This window comes from Homo sapiens, chromosome 11 (assembly GCF_000001405.40).
Source record: "Homo sapiens chromosome 11, GRCh38.p14 Primary Assembly".
NCBI lineage: Eukaryota > Metazoa > Chordata > Mammalia > Primates > Hominidae > Homo > Homo sapiens.
In genome coordinates, this window is record NC_000011.10 from 1,410,448 (window position 1) to 1,433,265 (window position 22,818).

Genomic DNA, 22,818 nt, shown 5'->3' on the forward strand with positions numbered 1-22,818 from the left:
GGGCGCCGTGAAAGCACCCAGCGTAGTCATGCTGCTGTGTGCGATGGGTGCTGGGCCCGCAGACTTCGGTGCTTCAAAGGCCTCACTGCTGAGCACGAGACGCCGCTTTTGATGTCGTCAGGCTCTCTGGTCCCCGGGAGTGGACTCGGGGGCTCCGAGTGCAGGGCTCACACTGTGTCTTTGAGGGCTGGTCACCCACCCAGGCACACCTGTGGCCCTGAGTCAGCACTGCCTGACGCCCACCCTCAGGAGCCCCCGCCTGCCTAGGGTGGGACCATGGGGGAGGCTGGTCCTCCATTCTCAGGGGCTGGGGGACACCCCTTCTGGTTGAGAAGGCCACAGGTGGCCCCCCCGCCACCCGGCAGGCACAGCAGGGCACCACCGAGACCACTGTGGCCTGAGGAGGAGCTTCAGCAGCCACTTGGTAGGAGGGCCTTCGACGGCCCTTTTGTGCAGAAGGTGGGTGTTCCCCAGTCTCAGAGGCCAGGGCCCTTGCTGGCTGGGGTGGGGGCTCCAGCCCAGGGCCCCGCTGAGGGGGGCAGGAGCAGGGGCGGAGAGAACAGCCGTGCGTCTGCCTTTTCTGCTCCCATCACCATGGCAACAGATGGAGATTTGGCAGGAAGGAGGAGGGGGCGGGCTTTGGAGGAGGCAGCCCAGGTTTGGAGACCAGCTGGGGATCCTCAGGGGCCTAGGGTGGGGGCTCCAGTCTCAGGCTGGCTAGTTCCTCCTTCCTGGTCACTGAGCCAGCCTTGCTGAGGGGAGAGCGGGTTCTGGACGTGCTCTGAGCTTCCTTCCTCACAGCCTTGCTCCTGGGCCAGATCAGCAGGAAAGCAGCCAGTGCCCCGCCATGGCCTGCCCGGGTGGGGTCCTGAAGCTGGGGCCGGAGCAGGGGGCACAGTTCTGCCCCATCTGGCCCTAGTTTGGGGAGGGAGCCTGGTAGGGCACCAGCCTCACCCCATGAGCCCTGAGGGCCACCCCAGCCGATGGGCACGTCCCCGCCGGCCCTGCATCTGTCCTTCCTCCCTCTGCTCCCCAAGAGAGCCCAGGTCTGGCCCAGCGGTGGGCAGGGGAGGGGCCGCACATCACAGAGTGCCAGCTGGCCACACTCCCGGCCCACAGCTGCTCCAGCCGCACCTCCACCTTCCTCAAGGCCAGACCTGGCTCTGCCTGCAGCCCAGCCCAGCAGGTGCGTGCCACGCTCCCTGGCTGGCCAGGGCCCCTCGAGGGAGGAGTGTGTTCATGTGTGAGGGATGCAGCCCCCACGGCAGGGACGGGGGACCTCGCCAGCACTGGTGGGCTGCACCTGCTGGGAGGGCCAGCTGTGCGGGTTCCTACGCTGGCGCTGCCTGCCCCTATGTGGAGAGGCGCCTGCCCCTATGTGGAGAGGCTCCTGCCCACTGGCCCGGCCTGGCATCCGGGCCCTCATCTTGCCCTCCCAAAAAGAGCTCTGCCCCCTGTGCTGCCCCATCCTGTGGGGAACGTGGCCTTGGTCACCAGCCTTAACAGCAGTCCTGCGGTGGGTGGAGTCTCAGCTGCGCCGCCCCGTCCTGCGGTGGGTGGAGTCTCAGCTGCGCCGCCCCGTCCTGCGGTGGGTGGAGTCTCAGCTGCGCCGCCCCGTCCTGCGGTGGGTGGAGTCTCAGCTGCGCCGCCCCGTCCTGCGGTGGGTGGAGTCTCAGCTGCGCCGCCCCGTCCTGCGGTGGGTGGAGTCTCAGCTGCGCCGCCCCGTCCTGCGGTGGGTGGAGTCTGAGCTGCGCCGCCCCGTCCTGCGGTGGGTGGAGTCTCAGCTGCGCCGCCCCGTCCTGCGGTGGGTGGAGTCTCAGCTGCGCCGCCCCGTCCTGCGGTGGGTGGAGTCTCAGCTGCGCCGCCCCGTCCTGCGGTGGGTGGAGTCTCAGCTGCGCCGCCCCGTCCTGCGGTGGGTGGAGTCTCAGCTGCGCCGCCCCGTCCTGCGGTGGGTGGAGTCTGAGCTGCGCTGCCCCGTCCTGCGGTGGGTGGAGTCTCAGCTGCGCCGCCCCGTCCTGTGGTGGGTGGAGTCTCAGCTGTGCTGCCCCGTCCTGTGATTGGTGAACTCTGAGCTGTGCTGCTCTGTCCTCTCTGGTCTGTGAAGTCTGAGCTGTTTGGTAGGCGGGGCCGAGGGAGCAGGCGCCCTCAGAAAATGCGAGACAGGGTCGGGTTGCGGGGAGGGCGTCCAGTGGTGGGAGGGGCCCAGCAGAGCTGAGGTGTCTGTGGGAAAACCTTTACTGAGCCAGGGACAGTGGCTGGGGGGTCAGATAAGGCAGCCCCAGCCCAGAGGGGATCCTCCTGCCTGCTGGGAGTGGGCAACGGTGCCCTGGCTGCACAGATCAACCCAGGCCCGTTGGATCACTAGCCCTGGCCGCACACAGCAACCCCGCGTCCCAGGCAACCCTGCGTCCCAGGCCCGTCGGGTCTCTGGCCCAGGGCACAGTAGTGGCAGTCACTCGCATGGGACGGGACCGCCCATGGCCTCCCACCGTGCACGCCCTTTCTGACTGCTGTAGGCCTGAGGGGTGGATGGGCGGGGCTCACTGCAGGCGCTGCCCCCGGCACCCCAGGCCCTGGCCTCCTTCTTCCCATGTTAGGAGCCTGCGTTCAGAACCCGCATTCCTGGGGAGGATGGGGCTGGGCAGGGACTGGGGTGGGTCTCTCCCCATCTCATGGCACCAGCTCAGACCTAAGCCAGGATCTCTGACTGGAGCCAGCCAGATGTCCAGCTGCCATGAGCTCCCCTGGGGGCTTCTGCCTCCCAGACGGCCCCTGGGGACGGCCCCTCGGGACACCCCCTCAGGTGTGGTGTGCCCTGACCCCACTGTCCACTGGGGTCAGCCCAGGAGACCCTCCCTCTGGCCCACCCCTCCCACCCCTGCAGCCCCTTGCAGGGGCCACGGGGAGACTCACAGAGGCAGTGCCCCAGGACCATGGTAGGAGACTCATCCTTCTTGGAGGCCAGAGGCTTCTGCAGGGCCTGAGCTGTCTCTGTCCAGCCCTGAGGGCCCTGGCAGTGGTATCTCTGCAGGTGGAGGGGCCCTGTGCCCAGGCTGTGCCCTGACCTTCTGCCCTGGGAGCCCTACAGCCCACATGGGCCCTGGCATCCAGCTCCCCAGTAGAACTTCCCCAAGCCAGGAAGGAAGTGGTCATGGGCGTCTGGGGTCTGTGTGCCTGGAGCTGGGCCATGTGGCCTGGGCTCCCTGCACTGCCCACCACCCACTGACCCTGACAACACAGGTCCATGGCGGGGCCTGGGCAGAACGGGGGAACCAAAAGGAGGGGCCTGAGCTGAGCCTGGGGTGGTGGGGCCTGGCACCCCCACTCCATCAGCCCCTCCTGCCATCTCTGGGGGCATCAGTGGCCCCAGAGCCAAGGAGCAGCCCCAGGGGCTGGAGCTCAGGTGAGGTCGGGTGGGTAAGGGGCTGCTGCTGCACAGTGGTGGGCAGCCACAGCGCCCAGCTCTGCCTTCTGCCCCGAGGAAAATGGGCTGCCTCCCACACTGGACACACAGCGCCAGCCACTTCCTCACACGGTTTACTGTAGCCAGACTTGGAAATAGTCATGTGATCCCCAGGGATATATAACTGCGTTTTCTCCATCTGTGCTTAGTTTAAAAACAATTGTTCATTAATTTAAAAGGAAGAGTTTGCCTTCAAACATAAAGATATTCAAATTAAAGATACTCAAATTTTTCTGTACGAACTAGGATTTGTGCTGGTCAAAAATACCACACCCCAAAGTTGCCATTGTCCCGTTGTTTAAAATTCTATGTGCAAATAGAATCTCCAGAGGCCGGGCAGGAGGAGGACGGCCTGGGAGTGTCCAGGCTGCTTCTCCGCCTGGAAAGGTGTCTCCATGCCCCTGTGGCAGTTTGAGGCTGGGGATGCCACTGCCCCACAGTGTGCTCCGGGGATCTCAGGGCGCTAGGAACTTCCCTCTGTAGAGAGTTGGCATCACTGGGATCCCAGGATGAACTTATGTGTGGAATGCGGTGTTCATTAGAAGCTAAGGAGCCTCAGAGTATGCTAAGGTGCAGCTTCAAAGGCAGCAATTGTTTGGAACTTAGGCCAAGGAAGATTTGTGTTTTGGAAATGGCATGTATTTTATCACTGACATTGTTTAGTGTAGGGTGATAAAAAGTAGACTGAATTTTTTTAATTAAAATGAAATTCACATAATATAAAATTAACCATACAATTCAGGGACGGTTAGCGCATTCACGGTGCTACGCGGCCACCACTGTCTAGTTCCAGAATGTTCCACCCCAAGGGACCCTGCGCCACACGTTCTCTTGCCCCTCCTCCATCCGTGGGAGCGTGGCCTGCCTTCCGTTTCTGGACGTGTCACAGACACTGGTCCCATGCTGTGCGTCCGTCTGCGTCTGGCTTCCTTCACACAGCAGAATGTACTCAGGGCCATCCCTGTTGTCATCCCTGTTGGGGTTTCCTTCCTTTTGAGGCTGAACGCACTTACCTGTGTGGACAGACCACGTTGTTCGCCTATCATCTGCCGTGGACATGTGGCTGCTTCCACCTTGTGGCTCTCAGGAGTGGCGCGCTGTGGACGTGTGTGTGAGTACCCACGTGGGTCCCTGAGCTCAGTTCCTGGGAGCATAGACCTCAGAGTGGTAATTCTGTCTTTACCTTTTTTTTTTTTTTTTTTGAGATGGAGTCTCGCTCTGTTGCCCAGGATGGAGTGCAGTGGCGTGATCTCGGCTCACTGCAAGCTCCGCCTCCAGGGTTGACACCATTCTCTTGCCTCAGCCTCCTGAGTAGCTGGGACTACAGGCGCTCACCACCACGCCTGGCTAATTTTTTGTATTTTTAGTAGAGAGGGGGTTTCACCATGTTAGCCAGGATGGTCTTGATCTCCTGACCTCATGATCCGCCCGTCTGGGCCTCCCAAAGTGCTGGGATTACAGGCATGAGCCACTGCGCCTGGCCCTGTCTTTACCTTTTTAAAAAAATTAGTTCATTTATTTTTCTGAGACAGGGTCTCACTCTGTTGTCCAGCTGGAGTGCAGCGATTTGATTGTGGCTCACTGCAGCCTTGGCCTCCCAACATGCTAAGATTACAGGCTTGAGCCACTGCACCTGGCTTGTGTTTAACTTTGAGGAGCTGCCAGACTTTCTCATTGGACCCAGTTTTAGTCAGCCTCATTTGGGTTTTTTAAGGCCCCACAGAAAAGGCAGCCCTGGTCCCTGCTGGATAGCTGGCACCCCTGCCTGCCCGGGGCCTGCTCTGCCCCCTTGGGTCCCTCACTTTCCTTCATAGAATTCACTGGCTTGGAGGAACCCATTACCTGCTCACTGCCCACACGGTGGTCCCAGCAGAGGACTTGGTCCCAGCAGAGGACTTGGAGCGGCTGCCCCTTCTGTTGCACGGGCTCCACCACGGCCTCCTCGGCCACTGTCCCCTGGGAGGGCAGCTGTGGTAAAGGCCGGAGCTCCCAGCTTTGGGCAGGTGAGTGCCCCTGGCAGTTCTTTTCTGTGATGTAGGTTTTTCAGACTGGGAAAAGTTGAGAGTTTCAAAGTCCATTGCCAGTGGGAACTGGAACCAGGCAAGCTGAACCAAGTTCATTAGTGCTCTTGGCAACCTCAGGGCTCACCTGGTGCACGGGGACCTTTGCAATGGCCAGGGCCTGGGGCCACCCGAGCTAGGGCAAGGGGAGGGGGAGGGATGTGTTTATAAAATTTCTGTTTTAATTTCAAGTACAGTAATGTTGGTGGATAGAAACACACAAACCACAGCACTTTGATTTTGTCAGTAACTCTTAAGAGTACGGAGGGTCCTGAGGCTGGGGGGTCTCGTGGGCACAGAGTATGATGCCTGTGAGGACGTCCTTCCAGCCACACAGCCCGTGGACTGCAGCATTGAGTGTTCTATTTCCTGGGTGTCACGTCCGCAAAATCCGCTGTTTTGCAGGGTCAGTCTTCGAGAAATGCTCTTGTAAGAACAGGTTTTTAGGCTCATGTGCCCCCTTCCCAGTGCCCGTCACCTCTCCCTGAGGCTGTGGCCTGGGCTCACCTCCCTCGGACCGAAGGGCTTCCCACACGTCTGTGTCCAACACGTTCCCCCGGCTTTCATTTAACTACCGGCGGTTGTATTTAGCCTCAGTTTTGGAGGATACTTTTGCTGAATGTAGAATTCTGGGTTTCCTTTGAGTGCTTAGCAGGTGCTACACCATGGTCCTCTGCTGGTGAGAGGCAGCCACCACTGAGGCCCTGGGTATGATGTGTGTCTCTGGCTGCTTTTGAGGTTTTCTTTTTATCCTTCGGTTTTGTGTGTTTCGCAGTGACCCACCTTGGTGTGTTCCTCCAGGTGTCTGTCCTGCTTGAGGTTCAGTGAGCCCCGTGGATCCACGGGCTGATGTATTTAGTACATTTGGGGAAATTCTTCATTGTTCTCTCTTAAAATGTGGCTTCTTCAGCCAGGCGCGGTGGCTCATGCCTGTAATCCCAACACTTTGGGAGGTCAAGGAGGGCGGATCACGAGGTCAGGCGTTCGAGACCAGCCTGGCCAACATGGTGAAACCCCATCTCTACTAAAAATACAAAAATTAGCCAGGTGTAGTGGCAGGCACCTGTAATCCCAGCCACTCGGGAGGCTGAGGCAGGAGAATTGCTTGAGCCTGGGAGGTGGAGTTTGCGGTGAGCTGAGATTGCACCACTGCACTCCACACTGGGGGATAAAGCGAGACTCCATCTCAGAAAAAAATAAAAATAAAATGCGCCCTTTTCCCTATTTGCTCTTTCCTGTATTGAGGGACTCTGGGAACAAGTGCCTTAGACTATGAGGGGGCTCCATAGGCACCTGACATGCTGTGAGGTCTCCACCTCCCTTTTTTGCTTTGGTGCTTGTCAGGATAGTTTCTGCTGGCTGGTCATTGAGGTCACTGTTCTTCTATTGTACCCACGCTGCTGTTCAGCCAATCCACTGAATTAATTTCGTTCATCTTTTTCTCCAATGAAATATATATATGTGTGATATTATCTTATCCTTTTCTGAAAATTCTAGCATTTAGATCACCTGTGTCCTGCTTCTGTTGGCTGTTTCTTCTCTTGAGAGTGGGTCACACTGTGTCATGCTTCTGTGGGCTGTTTCTTCTCTTGAGAGTGGGTCACACTGTGTCCTGCTTCTGTTGGCTGTTTCTTCTCTTGAGAGTGGGTCACCTGTGTCCTGCTTCTGTTGGCTGTTTCTTCTCTTGAGAGTGGGTCACACTGTGTCCTGCTTCTGTTGGCTGTTTCTTCTCTTGAGAGTGGGTCACACTGTGTCCTGCTTCTGTTGGCTGTTTCTTCTCTTGAGAGTGGGTCACACTGTGTCCTGCTTCTGTTGGCTGTTTCTTCTCTTGAGAGTGGGTCACCTGTGTCCTGCTTCTGTGGGCTGTTTCTTCTCTTGAGAGTGGGTCACCTGTGTCCTGCTTCTGTGGGCTGTTTCTTCTCTTGAGAGTGGGTCACACTGTGTCCTGCTTCTGTTGGCAGTTTCTTCTCTTGAGAGTGGTTCTCCTGTGTCCTGCTTCTGTTGGCTGTTTCTTCTCTTGAGAGTGGGTCACCTGTGTCCTGCTTCTGTTGGCAGTTTCTTCTCTTGAGAGTGGTTCTCCTGTGTCCTGCTTCTGTTGGCTGTTTCTTCTCTTGAGAGTGGGTCACACTGTGTCCTGCTTCTGTTGGCTGTTTCTTCTCTTGAGAGTGGGTCACACTGTGTCCTGCTTCTGTTGGCTGTTTCTTCTCTTGTGAGTGGGTCACCTGTGTCCTGCTTCTGTGGGCTGTTTCTTCTCTTGAGAGTGGGTCACACTGTGTCCTGCTTCTGTGGGCTGTTTCTTCTCTTGAGAGTGGGTCACCTGTGTCCTGCTTCTCTGTTGGCTGTTTCTTCTCTTGAGAGTGGGTCACCTGTGTCCTGCTTCTGTTGTCTGTTTCTTCTCTTGAGAGTGGGTCACCTGTATCCTGCTTCTGTTGGCTGTTTCTTCTCTTGAGAGTGGGTCACACTGTGTCCTGCTTCTGTTGGCTGTTTCTTCTCTTGAGAGTGGGTCACACTGTGTCCTGCTTCTGTGGGCTGTTTCTTCTCTTGAGAGTGGGTCACCTGTGTCCTGCTTCTGTTGGCTGTTTCTTCTCTTGAGAGTGGGTCACCTGTGTCCTGCTTCTGTTGGCTGTTTCTTCTCTTGAGAGTGGGTCACACTGTGTCCTGCTTCTGTTGGCTGTTTCTTCTCTTTGGAGGGGGTCCCATTTCCCCACCTCTTTGCATACGCTGTAATGTTTTGTTGGATACTGCATGTTGTTTATTTAGAGCAGCAGTTCAGACTGAAGTAGGAGCTGTCATCCTGGAGGGGCTCCCTGCCTGTGTTGGGCATGTGGGGGGCTGCTCAGCCAGATCCAAACAGGACTTCAGCTGGACTGGGACTGGGGGTCCCTCCAGCAAATTTCTGTTCAGCTCTAACACATATCCAAGGGACTGAACCCCTGGGTGGGGAAGTTTTTTCTTTTTTTTCTGTAGTGCCATAAGTGCCTGTCACTAATAGAAGCTCAGTGAATACCTGATTGATTAATTGATTGATCGGTTGATTGATTGAATGCAGCAAGTGTCTGGGAGCTCCCAGTTACAGGTGCGTGTCAGGCGTGAGTCTGGGCACCAGGGTGGGCCTTTGCTCAGCTGTGTTTGTGGGCTCTGCAGGTGCGTGTCAGGTGTGAGTCTGGGCACTGGTGGCGGGGGGGGCCTTTGCTCAGCTGTGTTTGTGGGCTCTGCAGGTGCGTGTCAGGTGTGAGTCTGGGCACTGGCGGGGTGGGGGTCCTTTGCTCAGCTGTGTTTGTGGGCTCTGCAGGTGCATGTCAGGTGTGAGTCTGGGCACCGGGGGGCCTTCGCTGAGCTGTGTTTGTGGGCCCTGGGACGTGATTCCCTCTTGGGTGGTGTTTCCAGCCGCTGGCTGCCCGGGCAGCTCCAAATACTGAGCTGTCAGGTCGGTGGTCTCTCTATGTCTTTCTGTTATCTTGTTCTGCTTTGCTGGGAATTTTCTCATTTTTTCAGTCCTTATTTAAATAGTTTCTTATTCTAGCAGTTATTATTTTTCATGTCTTAGAGCTTTTTTTTGTTTCTTAGTCGTTTTTGTAGACCTTGTTTATAGATGCAGCCACTCACTAAATCCTAGCACACTGGTGCAATCAACAGAATTTTTGAAATTCTCATTTCTGGCCAGACACAGTGGCTCACGCCTGTAATCCCAGCACTTTGGGGGGCCATGGCGGGGCCTCACTTGAGGTCTGTGGTTTGAGACCAGCCTGGCCAACATAGTGAAACCCCGTCTCTACTAAAAATACAAAAATTAGCTGTGTGTGGTGGTGGCATGCGCCTGTAATCCCAGCTGCTCAGGAGGCTGAGGTGGGAGAATCACTTGAACCTGGGAGGCAGAGATTGCAGTAAGCCGAGATGGCGCCCCTGCACTCCAGCCTGGGCGACAGAGTCAGATTCCATCTCGAAAAAAACAGAAACAAGAATGTTTGAAATCCTGATTTCCTGAGGACTGGTGCTCCCGATTCTGCTCCAGGCTCCGCGCCTCCTCCCACACCCGGGCACGTGGTCGTTCGTCTCCAAGGAAGCCTGGTTGAGTGCAGAGCCTCCTCTTTCTTGGATAAGAGGGAATGTTGTCTTGTGTGAGTCTCTGGAAGGCAGGGCCTCTGCCCGGAGGCTCGGTGTCCGTGCATGCATGCAAGTGTGCGTGCGTGCATGTGTGCGTGTGTGCATGTGTGATGGCCTAATGGGCAGGAAGTGGGGTGGCCTTGTTAGGATGAGACAGATTTTGCCACAGGGCCGGCCCCTGCTCTGCTGGGTGTGACCCCAACTACCCTTCTTGTTGGCCCAGAGAGGGGAGAGGCTGGCCAGGGCTGTCCCAACCTGTGCACGCCCTTGGCAGATGCTCCAGGGTGTCTGCAGCCCCACCTGAGGCCTGCCCTGCACTCTGGCTAACAGACATTTTCAGTTTTCCAGGTCCCCTGGAGACAGGCAGGCCCAGGCCCACCCCCTGCCTTCTCTGCCTGCCTGCCTCTAGAAGGTTCTTGAATGTTTAGAGGTTCCCCCGTCACGGCCAGGCTCCCTTTTGTTTAATTCAGGAAGGTTTGACAGGTGAGTGTGAGGTCTGCCAGCCTGGGCCTGGGCCCCTCCATGCAGGCCCTGCCTGGACCCCCTGTGACTCCCCCAAGTCCTATCTCCACCCCCTTGGTCCCCAGCTCCAGCCTCTTCCTCCACTGCCTAGACTGTCCCCTCGGGATACACCTCCTCCCTGCAGCCTCCTCCCTGGCTGTCACCCTCTTTGTGGCCTGCCTGGGGGACTCCTCTGGTTACTCCTGTCCTCAGCTCTAGGTGGGGCTGGCAGTCCTGGGGGCTCAGCCTCCATGTGGCATCCAGCAGGTGCCCGGCAACTCCCTGTTTTTCCACCTGACCTTAAGAGCCTGGCTTGAGCCTCTCATGGGGAGGGGCCTGTGCCCCCCAGGGCCCCCTCGGCCCTCTGGCTGGGTGCTGGCAAGTAGGTCTCAACCCTGGAGCCTGACTGGGGCCTCCCACCGACATCTTTCATCTGGGTGCAGAGCAGAGAGGGGCTTTGGGATGCTCAGAGTGATACCCTCAGATCTTTAGGATTCAGATCTTTGGGCTGCCTGTGGGCTCCTGGCTTGGCTGACCCTGGGCCTCCTCCTGGTACAGTCCCAGGCTGTGCTTTGGGTCCCAGGCTGCGCTTCGGAGGGGAGGGACAGTGTGGGGGCTCTCATTTAATCTTCACCCCCCAGGACGGGGTGTCAGGAGACCCCTGAGGCCAGGCACGTCTGGGGTCACACCCAGGAGGGAGGCAGGCGTCTGCAGTCTGGCCCTGGCTCAGGCCCACCCTTGCCCATCTCTGGCTGCAGAGATGCCTGCCTCTGCTTGGAAGGGACCTGGATCCTGGAACAGCCTAGGGCTGGGAAGCTGCTTCCTCCTCCACAATCTGGTCCCCAGTGGGAGCTGCATCCCACCTTTGTTTGGGTGCTGGGTTAGGAGGCGGGAGCCAGGCAGAGGCAGCGGAGCGGCTGCAGTGCGTGTGAAATGCTTCAGGGTGGCACGAATTTAACTAGAGAGGTTCTTTTCCAACGTGAGCAGTTGTCTCCCAAGAGATGCGCCGCCCCTTCCCTCTGCACCTGGCACTGGTGGGCGGTGGAGGCTGTGGGATCTATTGATGTTCTGAGCGTGTGCTGAGGGCCTCGCTCCTTCCTGCCCCCTGCCCCAGCTCCTGTGTCGGGGCTGTTACCGTGGGTGTGCAGGGTGGGGGTGCATAGAGCCTGGGTGCCCCCAGACTGAGGAGGCCGAAGGGTCGGGGAGCAAGGGCCTGGGTGCTAATGAAGGAACAAGGCTTCAATGTCTGTGGCAACTTCAGAGGCCCCTCTCGGGGCAGGTGGGAGAACCCCCAGCCTGGGGAGCAAACCTGCCGGCCCAGCACCGGGGTCTCTGCTGGAGATGTGAGCACGGCGGCCTGACCAGGGCCCGGGAGAGAGGGGGCAGGTGGGGGTGGGGTCGGGGCAGGCTGGGGGTGTCACTGGGCCTGCAGGGGGTCTAGCCTGAGGTTGGGGTGCCCCACGGGGGGAGGGTGGCGCCCGTGCCTGGGCTGCATCATCGGGTGTATTCGAGGCGGGGTCAGAGCCAACTGTGTGTCGGGTGAGAGCCCAGCCCAGCCCAGCCCCAGCTGTGGGCCCCCCATGAGCCCCTCACGGGAGCATGCAGGTGGATGATCAGGGGTGAGCCAAGTAGATTGGGGGCGGGGGCTGGCCAGGCCTCATCGCAGCTCACAGCCCCCAGCCCCCTCCTGAGCTGTTTGGTACCCTGTGTGTGCAGAGTCCCAGGTGGGGCCTGCCCTCCTCCAGCCGCTCCTCCACCCTGTCTGCCGTGTGCCACCCATGGGGTGCTCTGGGGAGGGGTGGGGGTCCCTGTATTGCTGGGGAAGGTGTGCTGACCACAAGGGGAGCAGCTTATGGGGCCGAGGCTGGCTCAGGATGCCGGAGGCTCTGCGGTGGGCCCTGGCGAGTGAGGAGCTGTGGGGACGGTGCAGAGGGGCCTGTGCACCTCCTGAGTTTGCAGTTGCTACAGTGCCCCCACCCCGAGGATGCATGGCTGACAGTCCCCACTGGGTGGCCTTGACAAAGGTGTGGCCAGGGCAGGGCCTCTGAGGAGCTGAAGACCTGCTTCCAAGGACACTCCTCCCTGACAGTCCTGTCCATGGTGCTGGAAGAGCTCTGGCGACCCCACAGGCAGGCAGGCCTGACCGTCCAAGGCTCGGCTGCCTGTGGGGAACTGGACACACTTCCTCCAGAGTCTCAGTTTTGCCAGCTGTTTGCCCAGCGCCATGTCCACTCCCCAAGCCAGGACCGAGGGGGTGACGGAGATGAAGCTTGTGCTGGCCCCAGCTGGGGGCCGCTGCCCACCCAGCAAGCCCCACAGCCAGTCCCAACCTGGTGATGTGGTGTCCGGAGGATGGACCTCGAGGTCTCTCAGACCTGGGTTTCTGAGCTCCTCAGGTGTCTGTGTCCCCTCCTGGGAAAGGGAACAGAGCTTTGCGAAGATCAAGGGGAGGGCAATGCAGCTTGGGAGCCTTAGCTCAGCCAGACAGCAGCCCGGAGGGTTAATGTCCAGGTACCTCCAGGCCCCATGCACCCAGGACCTCCCCAAGAGCTGTGCCTCCATGTACCTCAGGGCCTCCCCCAGAGCGGTGCCTCGTGGGGGATGCGGTGCCTCGTGGGGGACATGGTGCCTTGTGGGGTACGTGGTGGAGACGGTGGGGTCGTGGCCGTCCAGGCTTCAGAAACGGCAGAACCAGGGACCCTCCCCACTGTCCTGTCCTTAGCGTCTTGAGGCTAGGGGTGAGTTCGAGACCTCGTAAATACTTCAGTGCAGAGCCTTCAGTTAGGAGCCGAGGCCTCTGGCCAGGTTCAGGCACGTGGAGAGTGTGTGTGGGGAGAAGTTCTGAGACTGTGGGAGGGGTAGGGGTGTGCTGTGGCCACAGTGGTTCTGGAATTTGAGGTGCCTTAGGAGGTTCATGATGAAGGATGCGGCCCACAGTCGTGTGAGCAGAGGACGGCACTCGCGAGCTCCCTGGGGCTCCTCAGACCCGGTCACCGAACAGCAGAGACGTGCTCTTTCACATTCTGGAGGCGGGAAGTCCAAGGTCCAGGGTGGGCTGGCTCTTCCAAGGCCTCAAGGAAGCCCTGCCCCAAGCCTCCCCCGCTGGGCGTTCCGGGTGCCCCAGGCCTCCCCCGCTGGGCGTTCCGGGTGCCCCAGGCCTCCCCCGCTGGGCGTTCCGGGTGCCCCAGGCCTCCCCCGCTGGGCGTTCCGGGTGCCCCAGGCCTCCCCCGCTGGGCGTTCCGGGTGCCCCAGGCCTCCCCCGCTGAGTGTTCCCGGTGCCCCTGGGCCTGCAGAAGTGCTCCCCCACCCCCATCTTGCTTTCACCCTCACGTGGCGCCCCCATCCCACCCCGTGTGTCCCCAGCCACACTTTCCTCGGCCTTTCTCTGATAGGAAGGCTGGTAGTTGGGTTTAGTGTCCACCCCAAATCTGGGGCTATGTTATATTGAGATCCATAACTTAGAAACCTCTGCAGAGGCTGTTTTTCCAAGTCGGGTCACATTCATGCGCCCCAGGCACTGGGACACACATCTTTTGGGGGTCACCATTCCACCCCCACATCCTCCAGCTGTGATGTGGGGCCATGGTGGACCCCTCGGCACCCCTGTGGCCTCCGGAACTGCTCCGTGAGCCCCGGGGAGCCCCACCATTCCCCTGGAGTGACAGTGGGTCCTGCCGGCCAGGCGGAGGGAGGTCTCTGCTGGGTGTCCACCTGCGAGGCCCTCACCCCCTACTGCCTCATGTGGGGGGTGCCCCAGCACTGGGTGGGTCTGAGTGTGGGGGCAAAAGGAAGAAGGACAGGGAGAGCCAGGTGGGGACAAGGTGTCCTGCCGGGGTGGCCCCCACCTGCCCTCAGAATCCCTCCAGGCAGACAGTGGAGGCTGTGTGACCAGTGTGGGAGTTGGGGATAGGTGAGGGACCCCCTTCACTGGGGTGGGGCCAAGTGGCAGGAACTCCCCCAACATCTAAAGGAGAAGGGTCCAGGACCCTTCGCCAGGACCTGGGCTGCTTTGTGCCCCGGCAGGACGGGACAGCCACACACCTGCTGCCCTGCCCTCCATCTGCATCCAGCCAACAGGCCATTCCTCCCGTGCTTCACCCTCCATCCTGGCCTGGGAGGCCCAGGCTCAGGACCCGTTGGGACTGTTTGGACAGAGGGAGTCGGGGGGGCCAGGCAGGGCCCTGTGGAGCCTGCTGGGGGCTCTGGACCTGGGCCTCTGCCAGGTGGGCTCCCTGGGACCTACTGGCGGGGGGGCAGGTTGCGGGGGTGGAGCAGGACCCCCTGGCCTGCATGCTTCCCCTTCCTGGGGCTCACACACAGCACCTCGTGGGCCCAGAGTGCTGGCGGGAGGGGTGTTCTCCCCGCCTCCATGGGCAAAGAATCTGGGGCCCTTGTCAGAGACCGCGGGGTCAGTGGGATTGGCGCCCAGGCCCTGCTGTGACGCCACGTGTTTCCCACTCAGCGAGGCTGTTCCTGCCAGGCGTGGGGACTCGGACCCTGGTCCTGAGTGCTGCCCCGAGGCCCGTGATGGGAAGCCTGACGTCTGCATCGTCCTGCGCTGCGTGGCCGGTCGGTCCCGGCGCTCTCAGCACTTGGAGTCTCAGCTCCCCGGGTCATCAGTCCAAGCCACTCAGCAGGTGGCTTCGGCTTAAGGCCTCTCAGGTGGCTCTGGTGAAGGCGTCACCCAGGGCTGCCTGATCTGCAGGCTGGGCTGGAGGGGCTGCTTCCTGGGGGGTCCCGCAGGCTGTGTGGGGGCCTCGGGTCCTCAGCACGTGGACGCCCTGCAGGGCACTGCTGCCAGACATGCCCACTGAGCTCCCCAGAGTCCAGGAGGAAGCTGTGGTGTCCTTGTGGTCTGTGGATGAGGCCCGCTTGGTCCCAGAGGTGCGGGTTGGTGACAGCGACGGGGCAGGTTGTCACCTGTCCTGGTCTCTGGGAGCCGCCTCAGTGGGGTGGAGGCAGGGCAGGCCTGTCCAATGACCCCACCCCCTCAGGACGTTTCCTCCGTGCAGCCTGGGCCAGGGGCCACGGGAGGCTCTTCACCTACAGGGGACGCATTCAGCACCGAGGTCAGCAGCCCATCCCGAGCCCCCCACACCCCCGCTCGTCTCCCACTCTGTGTCCTCTCCACTGGCCTTGGGGTAGATGAGCTGCCCCCGTCCTTTCTTTGGGAACCCACCCCCTTCTGGGCGAGGGTGGGTAGCAGGCACCCGACAGGGTCCCCAGGTGGCACTCCAGGCCGTGGCACTAGATGTGCACTGTGGAGATGGGAAGAGGTGTGGGGCAGGGGAGGGCGTGGGGGGAACGCTGAGTTTCCTGGGTACACCTGCCCCGGGGCCAGTGCCTCAGGCCTCTGGAGAGCGGATTTGCGGCCTCATGGCTGGGGAGGGCTGAGGTTCTGCTGTCCGGTGTGGTGCCACGGTGAGCACACCTCACCTGTCCAGCCTTCCCCCTAAACCCAGTGCTCTGGACGGTGGGCTGGCCCCTGGCTCCTAGCCTGTGCGCGCCCATTCAGGAAAGCAAACACCAGCACACACCGGTCCCTGTGGGGCCTTGGGTGCTCTGGGCACCCAGCTGCATGGGACGGGCAGGGCCACGTGGCCATCAGGGCCTGGATGGGGGCCTGGCACACAGCGGGCACTGGGGATGTGTGTGGGGCGTGCTCCGGGGATGTGTGTGGGGCGTGCTCCGGGGATGTGTGTGGGGCGTGCTCTGGGGATGTGTGTGGGGCGTGCTCTGGGGATGTGTGTGGGGCGTGCTCTGCTGGCGACTGGGCTTGGATCTGTGGGGTGTAAATACCTGAGACGGCCCCTCCAGGGGAAAGAAGAGGCTTGAACTGTCACTTTAATCCTTTCAGACTCCGCAGGAGACAGAGCACGCCGGGGAGGACACATGTAGCCCTTGGGGGTGCCCAGTCCTGGCAAATCTCGGTCTCGAGCCTGGGTCTGTCCCCGCAAATGTAGAGTGTGCAGGGAAGGCCCTGGGTTGCTGGGAACTTGCAGAGGCCCTGGGTGAAGGTGCCGCGTGTCTTCTCTGTGTGACTCCTGCCTGGCCCTGGGTGAAGGTGCCCCGTGTCTTTTCTGTGTGACTCTCACCTGTGAGGTGTCCTCCCTCCAGGAGGTGGTTGCTGGCAACGGGGGTGGGGGCAACAGATGGGCCAGCAGCCACGTGGTGGGGAGCAGAGAGGACCTGGGGGTGCAGACACAGGATGTGGCGGGGCTGCTGGGGAGGAGCTCAGGATCCCTCAGCCAAGTGCATGTGGGGAGGGCCCTGTAGTGGCCAGCAGCAGGCAAGTCTATGAAACGGGACCACTCCGCCTGGTGGGAAGCCCCCTGGGTCTGCATGCGGGAGATGGGGGGGCGGCACCCCAGGCTGTCCCCATACCTGCTGCGCAACTTTAGTCTGGTGCGTGCCGGGGCGGTGAGGGGGCTGCGCGGGGTCCTTCCCCAGTGCCAACACTGCCACCTGCCCCAGGGCCCCCTACCCAAACTAAAGAGCAGCCCGTCCAGCCCTAGGCTGGCTTGGCTCCTGGACCTGCAGCCCCCCATCCCCTCTCTCCCCACAGCCCCACTGGCTTCCTGGGGGCAGGGCGCTGCCGGCAGAGCTGCAGAACTGAGCCCTCACTGCCCCTCCAGAAAGTGCCAGCCCTCCTGGCACAACCCTGCCTGCCAGTCCTCCTGGGTAGCTGAGTGCAGGGGCAGGGGCTGTCCTGCTGCCTCGCCCGGCCCAGGCAGGAGAAGGCCCCTCACTTCTTGGCCAGCCTGGGACTTGAGTCAGGGCCTGCTCTCAGATACCACGTGCAGGGTAGTCCTGGGGCTCCCTTTGACTCTCCTGGCCGGCTCAGGAGCACCTGGGGGCACCCGTGTTAACGTGCTAGTCTGCTCCCTGAGGCCCAGCATCCTCGTGGCATACCCGTGGCTTCCCTGGGATGCCCTGGGGCTCCACATGCCCAGGCCCTTCCCTGTGGGGGGCGCAGGGAGACCCAGCACTCTTGGGCACCCGCCGGCACACGCTCCCACAGAAATGGGGCCTGGCGTGAGCTGCTGTGCACCGCCTGCCCCCTCAGGGCCCTGGGCAGTGATCTGTGGCACTGCGTGCCTTCCCTCTCGACAGCCAAGCCTGTGTTTGTGTAAAGACAGCAATTAGAGATGGACTCTCAATTGGAAAATAAGCCACAGTGAGTTGCAGGGGGAGATGATGAAGGGTGGCCCTGGGCTTCCCCGCTCCAGCTTCCAGTCCCCCATCCTCCAGGCTACGGCCCAGTCAGGAGGGCCTCTCACAGCACACTCCCCACTCCCTGCCTCCAGAAAGTGGCAAAACTGCTCATAACCCAAACATTCTGCTCAGAGAAACTCGGAGCTGAGGGATACCAGGACGCAGAGGCCTGCACTGCTGCCTAGGACCCCAGGGAAGCTTTACCTAGGAGGGACGCCTCTATGCTGGGCTCTGAGGAGTGTGTAGGAGTCTTCAGAGTACAGTAATGGGGAAAGGACTTTCTAGGCATAGGGGCAGCAAGTGAAAGAAGATGGAGGCAGGAGGAGTGACCAGAGCTCCAGGATGCAGCTGGGGACGGCTCTCCTACATCCCAGCCTGCTGCGTCGTGGCTGCCTTTACCTGAGCCACTGCGAGGCTCCTGAGCATAGGCAGGAGGCTCTTGGTGGCTGTGGCTCCTCTGTGACTCTGTTGCTATTTGAGAGGCCACCTGCAGCCCCCAGACTCCAGCCTCAAGGACGTGGGCAGGATCTATGGATGCGGCAGGCCCACCCCCAGTGGCTCCATCCCCTCCGTAACCTCCTCTGGGAAGGTGGGTGCTTGCCAGGAATGCCTTCTTCCATGTGGTCCACTGTCCTCACAGCCCTTCTGAGCCACATGTGCTGGCAGGGGATGGAACCACTGTTTCCTCATCTGTGAAATAGGGGTGAAGGGGCCCCACTCAAAGCAGCGCCTGGAGCAAGGCCAGTGCTCCGAGACTTGGCTGTCCTGATTTGTGCTGGGCCCAGCAGTGTCCTTTCAATAAAGTTGGCCCAGGTGGTTGTCAGGCTCCCTCCCATTTTCAGTCCCCACTTTCTTTCCTTTTCTGGAGGCAGGATTGTGCTCTCCACACCTTTTGGCTCCTGTCATTCAAGGATGTGTGTGCACACTGGGAGTGTGCATGTTTGTACGTATGTGTGCATGATGGTATGTGCACGAGTGTGTGTGCACTGCGGGTGTGTGTGCATGTGCACTGGGGTGTATGTATGCAGTCGTGTGTACATGCATGGGTGTGTGTACAGGCGTGCGTACTGTGTGTGCATGGGTGTGTGCACACGGGTTACTGGGGGTGTGCACTGGGTGCTTGTGTGCACTGGAGGTGTGTACTGGGTGCGTGTGTGTGCACGGGTGTGTGCCCTTGGCGTGTGGGCGTGTGCACTGGGTGTGTCCTGGGTGTGTGTGCATGGGTGTGTGTACACGGGTGTGTCCTGGGTGCATGCACATGTGTACACAGGTGTGTGTGCATGGGTGTGTGTCCTGGGTGCGTGCATGTGTGCACTCGGTGTGTGGGTGTGTGCACTGGGTGTGTGTGCACGTGTGCATGGGTGTGTGTGCACGGGTGTGTGTCCTGGGTGCATGCGCGTGTGCATGGGTGTGTGTGCACGCGGTGTGTGGGCGTGTGCCCATGGGTGTGTCCTGGATGCATGTGCACAGGTGTGTGTGCACTCGTGTGGGTGTGTGCACTGGGCGTGTGTCCTGGGTGTGTGTGCGTGTGCGCACAGGTGTGTGTCCTGGGTGCATGTGCACTCGGTGTGTGGGTGTGTGCACATGGGTGTGTGTGCACTGAGTGTAGGCACAGGGGTGTGCACGCATGGAGGTATGCACACACCTAGGGGTGTACACAGGTGCATGTCTGTGTGCGTGGCCACACGTGCTGTCCCTGCCCAGGGCCCTGCTGCTCTGTCGCCAGCATCCTGCTGTGCCCAGCAGTGAGCGTCTTCTGCGGTCTGGTCAGGTTTTGCCACTGTGCTCAGCAGTGAGCGTCTTCTGCGGTCTGGTCAGGTTTTGCCACTGTGCTCAGCAGTGAGCGTCTTCTGCGGTCTGGTCAGGTTTTGCCACTGTGCTCAGCAGTGAGCGTCTTCTGCGGTCTGGTCAGGTTTTGCCACTGTGCTCAGCAGTGAGCGTCTTCTGCGGTCTGGTCAGGTTTTGCCACTGTGCTCAGCAGTGAGCGTCTTCTGCGGTCTGGTCAGGTTTTGCCACTGTGCTCAGCAGTGAGCGTCTTCTGCGGTCTGGTCAGGTTTTGCCACTGTGCTCAGCAGTGAGCGTCTTCTGCGGTCTGGTCAGGTTTTGCCACTGTGCTCAGCAGTGAGCGTCTTCTGCGGTCTGGTCAGGTTTTGCCACTGTGCTCAGCAGTGAGCGTCTTCTGCGGGGTCTGGTCAGGTTTTGCCACTGTGCTCAGCAGTGAGCGTCTTCTGCGGTCTGGTCAGGTTTTGCCACTGTGCTCAGCAGTGAGCGTCTTCTGCGGTCTGGTCAGGTTTTGCCACTGTGCCCAGCAGTGAGCGTCTTCTGCGGTCTGGTCAGGTTTTGCCACTGTGCCCAGCAGTGAGCGTCTTCTGCGGTCTGGTCAGGTTTTGCCACTGTGCTCAGCAGTGAGCGTCTTCTGCGGTCTGGTCAGGTTTTGCCACTGTGCTCAGCAGTGAGCGTCTTCTGCGGTCTGGTCAGGTTTTGCCACTGTGCTCAGCAGTGAGCGTCTTCTGCGGTCTGGTCAGGTTTTGCCACTGTGCCCAGCAGTGAGCGTCTTCTGCGGTCTGGTCAGGTTTTGCCACTGTGCCCAGCAGTGAGCGTCTTCTGCGGTCTGGTCAGGTTTTGCCACTGTGCCCAGCAGTGAGCGTCTTCTGCGGTCTGGTCAGGTTTTGCCACTGTGCCCAGCAGTGAGCGTCTTCTGCGGTCTGGTCAGGTTTTGCCACTGTGCCCAGCAGTGAGCGTCTTCTGCGGTCTGGTCAGGTTTTGCCACTGTGCTCAGCAGTGAGCGTCTTCTGCGGTCTGGTCAGGTTTTGCCACTGTGCTCAGCAGTGAGCGTCTTCTGCGGGGTCTGGTCAGGTTTTGCCACTGTGCTCAGCAGTGAGCGTCTTCTGCGGTCTGGTCAGGTTTTGCCACTGTGCTCAGCAGTGAGCGTCTTCTGCGGTCTGGTCAGGTTTTGCCACTGTGCTCAGCAGTGAGCGTCTTCTGCGGGGTCTGGTCAGGTTTTGCCACTGTGCCCAGCAGTGAGCGTCTTCTGCGGTCTGGTCAGGTTTTGCCACTGTGCCCAGCAGTGAGCGTCTTCTGCGGTCTGGTCAGGTTTTGCCACTGTGCCCAGCAGTGAGCGTCTTCTGCGGTCTGGTCAGGTTTTGCCACTGTGCTCAGCAGTGAGCGTCTTCTGCGGTCTGGTCAGGTTTTGCCACTGTGCTCAGCAGTGAGCGTCTTCTGCGGTCTGGTCAGGTTTTGCCACTGTGCTCAGCAGTGAGCGTCTTCTGCGGTCTGGTCAGGTTTTGCCACTGTGCTCAGCAGTGAGCGTCTTCTGCGGGGTCTGGTCAGGTTTTGCCACTGTGCCCAGCAGTGAGCGTCTTCTGCGGTCTGGTCAGGTTTTGCCACTGTGCCCAGCAGTGAGCGTCTTCTGCGGTCTGGTCAGGTTTTGCCACTGTGCCCAGCAGTGAGCGTCTTCTGCGGTCTGGTCAGGTTTTGCCACTGTGCTCAGCAGTGAGCGTCTTCTGCGGTCTGGTCAGGTTTTGCCACTGTGCTCAGCAGTGAGCGTCTTCTGCGGTCTGGTCAGGTTTTGCCACTGTGCTCAGCAGTGAGCGTCTTCTGCGGTCTGGTCAGGTTTTGCCACTGTGCTCAGCAGTGAGCGTCTTCTGCGGTCTGGTCAGGTTTTGCCACTGTGCCCAGCAGTGAGCGTCTTCTGCGGTCTGGTCAGGTTTTGCCACTGTGCCCAGCAGTGAGCGTCTTCTGCGGTCTGGTCAGGTTTTGCCACTGTGCCCAGCAGTGAGCGTCTTCTGCGGTCTGGTCAGGTTTTGCCACTGTGCCCAGCAGTGAGCGTCTTCTGCGGTCTGGTCAGGTTTTGCCACTGTGCCCAGCAGTGAGCGTCTTCTGCGGTCTGGTCAGGTTTTGCCACTGTGCTCAGCAGTGAGCGTCTTCTGCGGTCTGGTCAGGTTTTGCCACTGTGCTCAGCAGTGAGCGTCTTCTGCGGGGTCTGGTCAGGTTTTGCCACTGTGCTCAGCAGTGAGCGTCTTCTGCGGTCTGGTCAGGTTTTGCCACTGTGCTCAGCAGTGAGCGTCTTCTGCGGTCTGGTCAGGTTTTGCCACTGTGCTCAGCAGTGAGCGTCTTCTGCGGGGTCTGGTCAGGTTTTGCCACTGTGCCCAGCAGTGAGCGTCTTCTGCGGTCTGGTCAGGTTTTGCCACTGTGCCCAGCAGTGAGCGTCTTCTGCGGTCTGGTCAGGTTTTGCCACTGTGCCCAGCAGTGAGCGTCTTCTGCGGTCTGGTCAGGTTTTGCCACTGTGCTCAGCAGTGAGCGTCTTCTGCGGTCTGGTCAGGTTTTGCCACTGTGCTCAGCAGTGAGCGTCTTCTGCGGTCTGGTCAGGTTTTGCCACTGTGCTCAGCAGTGAGCGTCTTCTGCGGTCTGGTCAGGTTTTGCCACTGTGCTCAGCAGTGAGCGTCTTCTGCGGGGTCTGGTCAGGTTTTGCCACTGTGCCCAGCAGTGAGCGTCTTCTGCGGTCTGGTCAGGTTTTGCCACTGTGCCCAGCAGTGAGCGTCTTCTGCGGTCTGGTCAGGTTTTGCCACTGTGCCCAGCAGTGAGCGTCTTCTGCGGTCTGGTCAGGTTTTGCCACTGTGCTCAGCAGTGAGCGTCTTCTGCGGTCTGGTCAGGTTTTGCCACTGTGCTCAGCAGTGAGCGTCTTCTGCGGTCTGGTCAGGTTTTGCCACTGTGCTCAGCAGTGAGCGTCTTCTGCGGTCTGGTCAGGTTTTGCCACTGTGCCCAGCAGTGAGCGTCTTCTGCGGTCTGGTCAGGTTTTGCCACTGTGCCCAGCAGTGAGCGTCTTCTGCGGTCTGGTCAGGTTTTGCCACTGTGCCCAGCAGTGAGCGTCTTCTGCGGTCTGGTCAGGTTTTGCCACTGTGCCCAGCAGTGAGCGTCTTCTGCGGTCTGGTCAGGTTTTGCCACTGTGCCCAGCAGTGAGCGTCTTCTGCGGTCTGGTCAGGTTTTGCCACTGTGCCCAGCAGTGAGCGTCTTCTGCGGTCTGGTCAGGTTTTGCCACTGTGCCCAGCAGTGAGCGTCTTCTGCGGTCTGGTCAGGTTTTGCCACTGTGCTCAGCAGTGAGCGTCTTCTGCGGTCTGGTCAGGTTTTGCCACTGTGCTCAGCAGTGAGCGTCTTCTGCGGTCTGGTCAGGTTTTGCCACTGTGCTCAGCAGTGAGCGTCTTCTGCGGTCTGGTCAGGTTTTGCCACTGTGCTCAGCAGTGAGCGTCTTCTGCGGTCTGGTCAGGTTTTGCCACTGTGCTCAGCAGTGAGCCTCTTCTGCGGTCTGGTCAGGTTTTGCCACTGTGCTCAGCAGTGAGCGTCTTCTGCGGTCTGGTCAGGTTTTGCCACTGTCTAACAGCTGCCCTGTGCCCTTGGTGGCTGTGCCCTAATGACTCCCCTCCTGTTTGGGGCCATCTTTTGTGAAAATGCAGAGCCACCAGGGCTTCGCCACCTACC

At 60.2% G+C, this 22,818-nt stretch overlaps 1 protein-coding gene across 29 annotated transcripts in view; it reads left to right on the top strand.

Moving 5' to 3' along the window:
* Positions 1–22,818, top strand: part of BRSK2 (BR serine/threonine kinase 2) — a 72,756-nt gene that overhangs the window by 20,514 nt on the left and 29,424 nt on the right. For 2 of the 29 annotated variants that reach the window (NM_001282218.2, NM_001440675.1), the window contains exon 1: positions 23–459. The exons of 25 other annotated variants lie outside the window; for them this stretch is intronic. Coding sequence is in view for 2 of the 4 variants with exons in the window: in NM_001256630.1 (NP_001243559.1) it covers positions 958–1,186 (229 nt within the window). In the remaining 2 variants the exon portion in view is untranslated. Of the gene's footprint in view, positions 1–22; positions 460–704; positions 1,187–22,818 lie in introns of those variants that run through there. 2 more of the 29 variants (NM_001256630.1, NM_001440667.1) reach the window with 1 other exon arrangement.